This window comes from Homo sapiens, chromosome 8 (assembly GCF_000001405.40).
Source record: "Homo sapiens chromosome 8, GRCh38.p14 Primary Assembly".
NCBI classification, from domain to species: domain Eukaryota; kingdom Metazoa; phylum Chordata; class Mammalia; order Primates; family Hominidae; genus Homo; species Homo sapiens.
In genome coordinates, this window is record NC_000008.11 from 97,210,347 (window position 1) to 97,224,106 (window position 13,760).

The following is a 13,760-nucleotide window of genomic DNA, read 5'->3' on the forward strand; positions in this document are numbered from 1 at the left end:
CAGGGCCCTACACCCAGGATGGGTCAGGCTGGCTCAGGAAGTGAACTGGACTAAGCTGCCATGGGAGACATCGCTGCTTTAGCTGAGATTCTGGGCTACTCTGGGGTCCTGACCCCAGGGGGTTCTGGGGACTTTTGCCATAGCCCTGATCACATGGCTGAAGGAATCAGTCACTCCCATCTGCTGAGGGATGGAAGCAGGGAAAATTGTCAGACCATCTAAGTCACTTATTTCTTACTCATGCCTTTATCTGTCCATCCAAAAATAATTACTAAATTACTACCTATTCCAGCTCCTGTACCAGAGACAGTGAAAATAAAAAGCCCCTTGGAATTTACAATCTGTTAGGAGAGGCCCAACTAAATGAACAATTACAGCAAAACATGATTAATGGAGCAAAAGCAGGTGCCATGGGAACATAGCAGGGCAGCTTACCTAGGCTGAGCCAGAGAGGCTTCCTGGAGGAAGAGGCACTTCCATTATGGTTAGTGATTATTAATAATATTCCCTCATTCTTAAATATGAAATACTATATATACCCCCAAATAAAGTGAGCTCTTTTTCCCAAAAAAATTATCTTTTTAAAGAAAAAGGAGAGAGGAGTTGCCTTTTTCTGAGTTTTTACAGTCACATTTTTCATAGCAATGAATCTCTCTGTAAGATTTTACCTAGAGTAACAAAGTTCTAGTAGGAGGAAGTATGTTAGGCTACATGACCTCAGTCAATACTAGTTTGGGATTGTTTAAACAGATGACCATATAAATTTGGCTGCAAATAAAGAAGGCAAAAGAGCATAAAACAAATGTAGTGATTATTCCTGCAGCTGTGTCCTCACTGTTGTGTTAGATATTGTAAGCAAGCATGCCAAAGACACTTATGATACAGTGATAAGTTATTTCCTTGAAATATTTCCATGTATGCTGTCTTAGTCTTTTGGGGCTGCTATAACAAAATATCATAGGCTGAATAGCTTATAGAGAGCAGAAATTTGTTCCTCCTAGTTTTAAAGGCTTGGAAGTCCAAAATCAAGGTACTGGCAGATTCAGTGTCTGTTAAGGGCTTTCTGGTTCATAAATGATACCTTCTTGCTTGTCCTCACATGGTGGAAGAGGCAAACAAGCTCTTTCAGTCCTCTTTTATAATGGCACTAATCCCACTCATGCGGGCTCCATCCTCATGACCTAATCACCTCCCAAAGACCCCACCTCCTAATACCATCACCTTGGGGGCTACAATTTCAACCTGTGAATTTGAGGGTGAACACAAACATTCAGACCATAGCATATGCAATGGTAGTTTGCTATCAGTGTCATATATGGATTCAAAAAGGCTCTAGCTCAACAGTGCTCTGAAAAACCACTGCAAATGCAGCTCTGGTAAGAAAAAGACAGTGATGTCAAAGACACCTGCAGTGTAATGAAGTATTTTAGTAAAGTGTACTCCAAAATAAAATGCTTTATGTACTATGTGATTTTTAAATACATCTGTATTCCTAAATTAATAGATTAAGTACTTAAGTAGACATTTGACTAGTTGACCTATGAAGAGACTTCAAAAAGTTCATGGGAAAATGGAATTAAAAGATAAAAATAAAAAACATAAACTTTATTTCTCAACATAATCTCCATCAAGTTTAAGACACTTTTGTAAGCAATGATACCAGTCATTTATTCCATCCCTAAAGAACTTAGGGTCCTGGAATTTAACCATGTCCATGCAGACTTTCTTACATTTTTAACTGAAGAAAAATGGATGCCCTTTACAGATGTTTTTAAGATTAGGAAACAAAAATAAGTCAGAGGAACCAACTCAGGACTGTAAAGTGGATGCCCAATGACTTCTCATCTAAACTCTCACAAAGTTGCCCTTGTTTGATGAGAGTAATGAGCACAAACATTGTCATGGTGAAGAAGAACCCTCTGTTGAAGATTTCCTGGGTGTTTTTCTGTTAAAGCTTTGGCTAGCTTTCTTAAGACACTCTAATAATAGGTAGATGTTACTGTTCTTTGGCCCTCCAGAAGGTCAATAAACAAAATGCCTTGAGCATCCCACAAAACTATTGCCATCACTTTGCTCTTGACCCGTATGCTTTTGCATTGACTGGACTCCTTCAACCTCTTGGTAGTCATTGCTTTGATCGTACTTTGTCTTCAGGATTGTATCGGTAAACCCATGTTTTATCTCCTATTACAATTCTTCAAAGAAATGCTTCAGACTCTTGATCCCACTTGTTTAAAATTTCCATTGAAATCTTTCTTCTGGTCTGTAGCTGATCTGGGTGCAGTGGTTTGGCACCCATCAAGTGGAAAGTTTGCTCAATTTTAACTTTTCAGTCAGAATTGTGTAAGCTGAATCAATTGAGGTGTCTGTGGTGTTGGCTATTGTTCCTACTGTTAATTGTCAGTCCTCTTCAATTAGGACATGAACAGGATGATCTGCTGCTGCAGGCTTTATCTTCAATATCATCTTCTCCTCTTAAAACAAGTTATCCGCTTGTAAACTGCTGATTTCTTTGGGGCCCTTGTCCCCATAAACTTTTCATAAAGCATCAGTGATTCCATCAAACTTCACCATAAATTTAATGTTTGTTCTTGTTTCAATTTTAGTAGAATTCATGTTGCTTTGATAGGATCTCTTTTTAAAGTGATATCTTATCCTTCTTAGTGCCTCAAACTAGATCCTCCTCAGACATGTTATAACATGGTAGTACAAGTTTATCTCGGTGCAAAAAAATTTTTGAAATCCATGCCTAGTTTTTTCATAAGATACATTTTCCATGAACTTTTTGAAAGCCACTTGCATATCCTAGACTTTGTACAATCAGATTGACAAGGGAAAAAAAACACTTTGGGAAAAATCTTATTGAGGAAATGAAGACTGTCTTAACTTCTAGCTTGTCTCCTATTTGGGCAAGATGAGAGTTCTCTTCAGTCACTTGGTCAACCAACAAGAATGTGTTGAGTGCCTACCTGAGTATTATGGGGGCTACTAAAGGGAAAACAGAGGTCTCCCTGTCCAAGAGTTTGCCCTCTTGCTGGGGAGACAGGACACAGTGATGGGAAAGGATCAGAGAACAGGACACAGTGTGGGGTGGGGAGGGGGAATCCCCTGTAGAACTGGCATGACCCATTTGTGAAAGCACATTCTCCAAATGCAGGTCCACTGTGTCTTGAACGTGGAAGCACCCCATGTCCTTAGATACTTGTCAACAGGGGCTACAGCCCAGGCAAAAGGAGAAAATTAACCCTGAAGTGTCCTCTATTACCAATGTGGCCCCCAAAGACATGGAGAAGGTTCATGCAGGGGCCCTCGATAAGCCAATGTGTGGCAGACAAGGCAAGGAATCACAGGGAGCCACCCACCATGCGACCCCATCTGCCATATCGCCAGCCCCTAGCCATCCTCTAGGTTCCTCTGAGGTGCATGAGGTTCTCTCTCATGTCATTCTGAGAGAGACATGTCATGAGGTTCTCTCTCATGTCATTCTGAGAGTGTCATTCTGACACTCTTCAAGCAGTCTGACAGTGCCAGTCCCCTGCCTGTGCTATGGCTCCTGGCGCTTCTGCGGCTGCATAAATGCCATACCCAAAGCAAAGCCCAAGGTGCAGATAAGCTGTGCCTTGTGCCTGTACCCACAGAGCACCTTTGACCAGGTCCAGACCCTGCCAGTGGCCCTCTAACACCACAATGCTTCATCGTGAGTTCACCAGCGGGCACAGACATTATCCCCCGGCCATCAGAGGCAAGTGCCTGGGCAGAGCAGGCAGAAACAAATTGCTTTACAGCCACTACCTTGAATCTGACACACATCCCTTTTCCAAAGTGTGCACCTCACTGGCAACTTCTAAGTGAAATTCATGGGAAAGTATTTAGCAAATCACATGCTGACACATTTATCTTGTTAGCTGTCAAAATGAGTAAGTATGCACGTTGAATGCCATCATTCAGCCTGAACTGAGAAAGGCTACTAATCAAGAAATCTGACAAAATAAATATGTTTTCTAACCTGATTTGTCAGATTTATATTAATCCTTTGTTCAGACCTTGTCCTAATTGACCTTAAATAGACCTATGATGACCCAGGTGACTAGAGACCACGAGCCATCATGTGCCCTACATATTAAAGCGACATGCTGCCCACAGGGCCCTGCAGAGGGTGTGATGGAGCAGCTATCCACCCAGCACCCCATATTTTACTGCCTTTTAGTACCTAATTAGCCCGAAAAATCTATCAAAAACCATATGTTCAGGCCTTGCCACAAATGCAAGCAAAAAAGCCATGGGGTAGGTGAGGTCATGGTCACATTCTCAGGGGTTCTGTCCACCCTTCCGACAGCCAGGGCAGAGCCTTGAAGTGAGTTCAATGTGGAGGAAATGGTAAGAGCATGGACTCTGGGGTGGAAATACTTCAGAGCACTAACAGACTTCAGAGCAGAGAAATGTCGGTAACTGCCCACATCCTCCCCTGCCCTATCAACCCTGGCCTGGCCTGAGGCAGCAGATTAATTGCTGACTCATCTGTACAGGTTTAGGAGTTCCAGGGAGGACAAGCCCCTGCCCCCTCCTTTTTCTAAGCCTTCCTTGAGGACAGCCTTCTGAGTGCCTACCTTCCTCTGGTAACTTGAGATTAGGGGCCTAGGAATCTGTATGTGTTAAAGCTCCATGGCACTGGGGCCCGGTGTGCAGATGTAAAGACCCCCCCAGTTGGAGGACAGTGGGCTTCCAGCTATGTTCAGAAAGGGCAAAGCAGACATTAAAAGCACAATTTTATTTTCTCTGAAAGCTCTTGTTTTATTTTTAAATGTATTTTCTTAAATGCATAATGTTCTTGCTCTATTAAGATAATCAAAATTCAAAACTCTTCCCCAACTCAAACTGATCTCCCAAAATGTAACCTATTTATCCTGTGGTCTTATGTACTAGTAATAGCTAGAATTTCTGGAGCACTTATTAAACACTTGGGAACATCCTAAGAGCTTTACCTGTCCTAGCTCATTTAACTCTCACGATTGCACTATGAGGAAAATAGCATTATCTGTATTTTGCCAATGAGGAAGCAGAGGCTTGGGGAGATTATGTGAAATCTCACCCAGCCAGAAAGAAGCAGAGCTGGGATTTGTGTCTAGGTTTGTTTGAACCCCAAACTGGCACCTTTAATCATTGTGATTGGCAGTCTTCTGGTATAAGATGCACAATCCTAGACCAGAGGCTATTTTCTTCCCCAGTTGAGGATGGACTTTTAATAACACTCCTCCTCCTCAAAGGAACAATTATAACAGCAATAACAAACAATGGTATGTGCAAGGCCACTAAGTGAGTGTGTGGAAGGACTAGAACTCAGTTCTCTACCATTCTTTACAGGGAAGGTGTGAGAGGTTCAGTGTGAGATGCTATTCAAGAGACATGGAAGGAGGCTTATAAAAGTCCCCTACGCCCCAGCCTCTCTTCCTACAGGGCACTGACAGAGGGGGCTGGCAGGGGAATCCACGATGGGAGGGCTACACACAGATGTGGTCTAGAAGGGTCTACGCCTGGAAGCTACCAGGTTTCAAGGGTTTGATTTTGCATCTGAAAATGTGTATGCTTTCAAAGGGCACATCTCAAAGGAGGTTTCAGTGCCTGCCGTCACCAAACATTTTTCTTCAAATTATATTTCCTTGCAGGTTCTGTCTGAGGAGATAATGTCTGAGAAAAAGCCTCTGGTCACCCTGAAAAGGGAAGTTCCATAAAGGCCCTTCACAAAATGCTGACTTGAATGTGTAGCTCAGCTGACAACATGAAAAATGCAAGTTAGCCAAAATAGATTGCAGTAAACAGGGACTATGCCTCCTTGATTTAGACTGTATCTTGCCCTTCATTCATTCTTTCACCCATGGGATATTTATTGAGCACCTGCTAGGTAGATGCCATGCACTATGGTAGATGCTGTGCATACATAGATAGATATGCCTTTTATGATTTCAAAGTCAAATAAAAAAAGACATAAATATCTGTCTACACTTAGAATGAGGAATATAAGAACTAATGGTTGCATGGCAATAAATAACAAGAGCCAGTAGTAATTGAGCACCTACTATACATCAGAGGCTTACTAAACCATTGCTGTGTACTAATGTGTTGAAAATTTACAGACCCTTTAGGATAGATCCAATTAGCATCCCATTTTACAGATGAGGGTATCAAGCCTTAGCAATATTAAATAACTTGCCTAGCATCTATAGCTGGGGCATTTAAAACCAAGCTCCTCAGGCTTTGGTTTAGAGCTGTTTAGCTCCAGAGCTATGATCTAAAGGGGCCTGGGTTTGATCCTAGCCTGGTCACTTAGCAGCCATAACACAGGTTGCAGTGAGGACTAAAGGCAAAATGCATGTGAGGTGTTGTCACCCACTCTAGTCATCTAGCCATGAACTTGAAGGTCTTTGTGTTTTCTGTAGAGGTCTGGACTACATGCCTCTTCATCTAGCTGTAGTTCTGGTGATAGGCAGACAGGCAAGGAAAGCATCAGGGAGGTGACCTTAAACAGGATTTTGAAGGAGCTGTACGAGTTTGCCAGACAATGTGTTGTGGGGAACAGAGAAGAGAGGACACAAGAAAGGATACTCTAGGCATGGAAATGACATGAGTAGAAGCAATTAGATATGGCTGGAGCCTATCTCAGGGCTGGGCTGGGGGCATAAAAAGAAGAGGCCAAAGAGGCAGACAGGCCACAGGTCAGGAGACCATGGGTGTTGTGCTACCAGGTTACACCTGACCAAAGGTGACAGCGGGGCAGTGGAAAGGTCACTCTGCAACAACATGCAACAAGGTGGAAAGTGATCACAGGGGGAGACCTGGGTGGCAGCCAGAAGCCCAGTTAAAGAAGTATTGACATAATTCAATGAGAGCTTCATTCATTCATTCAATCTATTAGCCAGGTAGTAGGCAAATATTTGAAGATTGTCTTACAGCAATTCTCAAATTATGATATGGGGACCCTTGGGAGTCCTGAAGACCCTTTCAGGGGTATCAAAGAGGTCAAAACTATGTTCTAATACTACTAAGACAGTATCTGTCTCTTTTACTCTCATTATCTCACAAGTGTCCTGTGGAGATTCCCAGAGGCTGCACAACCACAGATAAAAGAACATATTGAAGGCAGGAGCAGATAGAAGAATCCCTAGCCTTTTATTAAGTCAAACAGTTAAAGAGATTTGCAAAAATGTAAAACAAGGCCACTCTTCTTAATACATGTTTTCGTTTTCAAAAATATAGTCATTTTTTCATAAAAATAGGTTCTTTATGTTAGCATGTAATGGGTGTGATTTTTAAATGAACTATTGATTTAAGAGTATAATAAATATTTATATATTTTAAATAAGTATTTTTAGACGTTATGCTTTAATTTCTAATATGAAAATCTTGATAGATATAATCCACCAAAAAAAAATTTTGAGAGTGTAAAAAGGGTTTCTGAAACAAAATGTTTGAGAGCCACGGGTATAGTACATACGGGGTACTGTCTAGGACACTAGGAGTAAAGCAGTGAACAGGCCTCAGTCAGTTCCTGCCCTGTAGGGGCTGTCATTCTAGTTAGTGGAGGTCCATAAATAAACAGTGAACAGCAAAGAGCTGGGTAATGGGTGAAGAGCAGTGAGCCAGGCTCGCCTTGCTGTCTTTGTTTGCTGGCAGCAAAGCCCTGGTCCCACCCTCTTCTCTTGCTCTCACTGAATGCCACAGTCCCCAGGGGCATCCATCCTCTGAGGGCATATTAGTCCATTTTCACACTGCTATAAAGAACTACCTTAGACTGGGTAATTTATTTTAAAAAGAGGTTTAATTGGCTCACAGTTCCGCAGGCGTACAGGAAGCATGGCTGGGGAGGCCTCAGGAGACTTACAATCATGGTGGAAGGTGAAGAGGAAGCAGGCATGTCCTACATGGCTGGAGAAGGAGGAAGAACAAAGGGGGAGATGCCACACACTTTTAAGCAACCAGAACTCATGAAAACTCACTATCACGAGAAGCAAGGGGGAAGTCCACGCTCATGATCGAATCACCTCCCACCAAGCCCCTCCTGCAACACTGGGGACTACAATTTGACATGAGATTTGGACGGGGACACAAATCCAAACTATATCAGAGGGCCTCTCACATGATGGCAGTTTCCCTCCCATGCCCCTCACAGCACAACCAGCCCTGGCGTTGGGGAAAGGGTTCTTCATGTTCCCACTGCCTCCTCCAGTCCCTCTCCCTCTTTCCTGCTCAGGCATTGATGTGTTGTTAGAAGCTTCCCAGAGCCAGAGTTCAAAATGATTCCCCTGATATACTCACACCATTCATCTCATAGATGAATTCTTCACACTCTCCTCCTCAAAAACCTCTTCCCTGTCCTTACTCACAGCTTCCTAATCCATGGGGAAAATGGAAAAAATCCAAGAAGAACATGCACCTCACTCCTCACCCCGTCTACCCTAGTGCATCTACTCTCAGACGTTCTGGCTTCCCTCCCCCACCACTCTGTTACCAAGAATGAACTCTCCTGCTCCTGCCACCCTCCCTGCTGGGCATCCCACTGGCTCCTACATTCTCCACTTGCCCCTTCACTCTCTCCTGCATCATTCATGTTTCACTCTTTACCAGAAATTTCCTATTGGCAAAATAATACAATATTACTTCCACTAAAAAAAAGAAAAAAAAATCTTTACCCCACATCCCTCTCTATTGCCCCAAGTCTGTATTCTCTCTTTTAAAGCAAAATTCTTTAAAAGGATTGTCTTTACTAGCTCTCTCCAATTCCTCTATTCTCATCCATTCCTGAACCCATTCCAGTCATAATTTCTCTCCCACCATCCCATTGAAACTGTTTCCCAATGACACCCAAGTCACTAAATCCAAGGTCAATTTAAGTCCTCATCCTGCTTGACTCTTTCAACAGCACCTCACCCAGTTGATCATGGTCTCCTCTGAAGCACTTTCATTTTCTTCCCTTTCTTGGGAAGGAAAACCCAAGAGTGGGACTTCCAGAATGTCCCACTCTCGGATTTTCCTTCCTTCATGAGCTACTCATTCTTGGTCTCCTTTGCTGGTTCCTCTTTGTCTCCCTGAATTCTGTTAGGGTTTAGTTCTCAGAACTCTTCTCTATACTATAGTCACCCCCTGGATAATTTCAGTCAGTGTCAGTGCTTTAAATACTCTTGGCCAGGTCCATGGATCAGCAGTCTCCAGCAGTCTAGCAGTAAGAACAGTGTTTTTCTCCCAAGAATAATTTCTTGGGAATACGTTGTTGTTTTGGGATTGGGAGAATGTCTCTCTAAAATTCCAAGTAAGCACCATGCTTTGCTGAATTTCAGCAAATGGAGCCTGTACTGCCTTTTTAGTGAGGATTTTGCCTTACTAAGCTGGATTCCTGCTGGTTCTTTTTCATTATTGCAGCAGAACTGGTTCACATGGAGGACTTTCTTCCATGTAACATTGATCTCTTAAAGACCGAATCTAATGTGCAACCACTTGACATAATGACCACAGGAGAAGCACAGAAAGCAAATGGAGAGCTTTGCATTCCTGCTGTCACTGGTCATCATCATCCAGGCTGCCTAAGCCTCCTTGGAAAACAGAGAGACATCACCCCATCACAGCCCCCATCACTGGTCAAAACTTGAGTTCATGCTGTCAGACCATTCTCATTCATTCTCTCACAAGCCTGAGTTTATTACAGCCCACATCTCAGAGGAAATATTCCATATCTTGAGTTTATCACTATCTTTATTCAGCCTCCCAACAATTTTAGCTAAAGCTACCCACCAAGCCTTCTCTTAAATTCTGCAATTTGAAAAAAAAAAGAGATACCATTCAAGGTATTAACTCCATTCTTCATTATTCATTCACTCATTCATTTCTGTACAAAGCTCAGTACACATGGTCAAACAGGGAAGCAGAGATGTAAAGCAACTGAAAAACTGCTGGAATGGAGGCAATACAAGGTTAAGTAGAGTATCTTCTCTTTCATGCCAGTGTTTTCGTACATGTTTTTCTCCTTGTTTGAAATAATAATAGCTAAGGTCTAAAGAGCACTTAGTAATATGTCAAGAACCATGTACAATTTATTTTTCCTCAACTGAATGGAATAGCTATTTAACATCTTTTTGCCTTAGTTTCTCTTCTCAAAGATTGTGGAAGAGTCTCAAGTTGACAGGCACGAACCTAACATAATTTTATTTTTTTAGGACCTGAAAGCAGCTATATATACTCTGTCATTTTAGCTATTAGAGAGTGTTTGTCTTCTCACTCAGGACTCTGTGCCATTTATTTTAAAACTGCAAGCTTCTATTTGCTTCAAGGTTCTCCCCCTGACCATCCCGCACTGACTGGATTTATAGCTCCTCTAGTCCCGGATCATGGGCAGGGGTGGGTTAGGATCTGCATTTTTACCACCTCCCCTCTGCTGTCTCTTTCAGGGATTCACCTTCTGGTGTTGGGCAGGAAGAAGAAAGGGGCAAGGCACCTCCTTATGTGAGTGCTCATGCTGAGGTTGTTGTCCTATTTTAATGTTCATCCAACTCCAATCCAGCTCATGGTCTCCAGCCTTGGGAAGTAATATGGTGGTCTCACACACTCTACTGACAGGCCTTCATCTCATGTGACTCCTTAGGCATCAATGGTCACTTTCCTTTTTTTGTTTTTGTTTTTGTTTTTTTTTTGGCAGAACTCTCACTGCCTTCCTCTGGTGCATGAAACTTTTTGTCCCATTCTGGAGCAGCCTCCACAGTGCAGCAGCCTCATCCCATCAATCCTCTGCAGGATGACTGGGGTTTCCCTTTCGACATGACTGTGCCCTCTGACTTCTCTTCCCAGTCCTCTGATGAGTTGGAGGAGCAAATCATGAGCCCCAGCTGGATTGGACAGGGACCAGGCCACGAAGGGCTGGTAATGGAGTAAAGCGTTTATGCTTTAGGCCAGGTGGAGCCACCAAAGAATTTTGAACAGGGGAGTGATATGATTAGATTTATTACAATCCTTCTTAGAACACAGCAGAGAATGGACAGGAGAGTGTCAGACTAGCAGCAGGGAGACTAATAGAGCCAAATGCCATGCTTTTCCACTTGCATATTGTCTGCAAACATGGCCAATCTTGATCACCCTTTTTGCTTATGACGTAATCTAGAAGGTGATTCAACATGCCTTGGGTGAGTCGGTCCTTTCTGTCTATGGAAGGCTGTAGTGGGTTGAATTACATCCCCCTCAAAGGTATACTGAAATCCTAACCCCTGGTACCTGTGCCTGTGGCCATAGTTGAAAATAAGATATTTGCAGATGTAATGAAATTAAGGTCATGATGGATTAGGGTGGGCTCTAAATCCAGTGACTGGTGTCCTTTTAAGGACAGGGGAGGTTTGAAGACACACAATGAAGAAGGCTGTGTGAGGAGAGAAGCAGACATTGGAAAGATGCAGCTATAAGTCAAAGAATTCCAAGGACTGCTGGCAACCACCAAAAGCCAGGAAAGACAAGGAAGGATTCTTTCTAGAGTCTCAGAGGCAGTGTGGCCCTGCTGATACTTTGATTTCCACAATGATGAGAACATTACTGTTTTTTTTTAAGTCACCAAGTTTGTGGTAATTTATTATAGCATCCCTAGGAAACGAACACAGGGCCAAATAATTACAGAACATTAGAACCATCTCCATGATCAGATGAGAAAGCTCAGGCCCAGAGATGTGACGTGGATTCCCGAAGTCCCCAGAGGATTCACGGCAAGTCCCGTAGATAAGGAAGGTATACTTGGGGAAGCAGGGACCGTTTACCCTGGTGGTAGTTTCTGACACTTCTTTGGCTGCCCGCATTTGACTTCAGACCCTCAGCTCTTTGCCTAACCAGACCCTTCTTCTCATCCCCTACCCAAGCCTCCCTCAGTCCTCTCTCCCTGATCATCCAGTTTGCAAACTGTCTGCCCACCCAGGACCTAGCTGGAGTCAGCTCTGGGGATCTGACTCAACACCTGTCTGAGCCTGACCCATCCCTGCTGCCAAGTGCAGCCACTGGGGTCTCCAAGTCATCTCGTGAGCTGACCCTGAGGGATCTCTCCAGCTCCTAGACCCAAACATTTATTACACTAAAGGCAAGGCCACATCATTTTCATGAGTCTCTTTCCCACTAGACTATAAGCTCCTTGAGGAAAGAGACCATTTACTTTTACAAATCTTTCTTTTTTATACCCAGCACAATACCTGATCCATGGTGAGCTCTCAAGAATACTGAATGATGTTGTTAATTGAGTCATTTCTTTACAAGCTGTCTAACATGCCTCAGCCCTATGGAGAGAGATTGGAGGGGCCCCAGGGTCAGTTCACATGGGAAGTTCCCACCCCATGAAAAAGAATATGTGCAAAGAGATCAGGCAGAGTTACCAGCAGTTAACAAGTATTCCACAAAAAAAGAATATTGCATGTGCAAATAAGTTTGGGGAAGGCTATGTCATAAAGAGTTAAACCTCTGTCTTTACTATAGGACCTGGAGGGATCTTGAATATGCTAATATGCAGCTCTCCAAGATGAGTATCAATAGGAATCACTCTTCTCCACACAACACCTGACTTGCACCCCGCGTCCCTTCTTTTCTGCTGAAGAATATTTGGATTTCTAGTGAATTTCTGTTTTGTTTTTAAGAGGAACATGAGCCAAAGGCGGAACATGAGCCAAAGGAATCCTCTTGTGAGCTGTAAGTCTGCCCGCTCGGTTTGAAGATGCTGACATGGCCCTAAATGTCACCACATGGATATTAAAATCTTTGGCTTCTCCCCACTCCACAGTGCCTCTGGGCTCTTTTGCCAGAGTGCTTTACGGGGGAAAATAGGCAGAGGAAATAGATGACCGCAGTGTTGCGTGGCAGTCACCTAGGAGACCAGCTGTGCCTCTCAATTCTGAGTGCAGCCCCAAATAAATGAGGCTCTGATGTGTGCGAGCTGAGCAGATCGCTCCTTGAGCATGGGGGACTGTTGCGAATGGAAACACTTTGAGCCTCCACTATGTTAGAGAGGAAGAAAGTGGAGCCCAGAGAAGTGACATAGCTTCCACAGCATCACGGAGCCAATGCTTGTCTCGTCAAATGTAACTCTCAACCTGGTTAAAACTGTAACTCAACCACCAACCATTATAAGGTGCTGTATTTTTAAAACTTGCTTCAGAAATAAATATATGCAGTCTGGGGTCCTAGCGTGGGCGTAGTAGGAAGGCCAGAAGACAAAGGCAGCCATCATCAGCCATTAGGATAGCAAGGGATTCCTAGGTAGAGGTGATGCAGGTGTGATTTGTCTCCTCCAGTTCTCAGCTGCACTTATTCCCACCTTTTGCTCACTCCCAGGCAACCACAGGGGATCTGGGAAGGAATCCTCCTCAGGTTCCCCAGGAGATTCTGCCCCAGTTTCCTGAGCATTCACGGCTAACAATTCCAAGGAGAAAGAGGCACCCGGCCTTCTCTCTAAGGGCATCCCTCTTCCCTGTGTTAAACCTGCAGCAGCAAGCCCAGCTGAGCACCTCCCACACCCCCTGACCCTCCAGGGGACTCTGCATCAGGGACAGAAGGGGAAGGGAGAAAGTGTGGTGGCTTTGTTGTCCCCTTCACACCCCACTCAGCATCCATTCACCTTCTCTAAGAGCACCCTGATCCCTGATTTCCTCCTGGTTTGAGTTGTAGTGGGATGGTAAGCCCAGGCACCTGCCCTCCAAATAAAGCAATCAAAATCTCCTTCCCCCAGAGCCTCCCTCAGTATCCCAGTGTTACAGGGG

At 43.7% G+C, this 13,760-nt stretch overlaps 1 long non-coding RNA gene across 1 annotated transcript in view, besides 1 other annotated feature; it reads right to left on the reverse strand.

Moving 5' to 3' along the window:
* Nucleotides 1-13,760, reverse strand: part of LOC101927066 (uncharacterized) — a 494,634-nt gene that overhangs the window by 258,483 nt on the left and 222,391 nt on the right. The window lies entirely within an intron of this gene.
* Nucleotides 4,414-4,646: a silencer, noted in NCBI's record as "fragment chr8:98226988-98227220 (GRCh37/hg19 assembly coordinates)". NCBI's record gives its function as "represses an EF-1alpha promoter that drives an FKBP-Casp9 reporter gene in an ReSE screen in K562 erythroleukemia cells {active_cell/tissue: K562}" and the evidence as "EXISTENCE:reporter gene assay evidence [ECO:0000049][PMID:32094911]".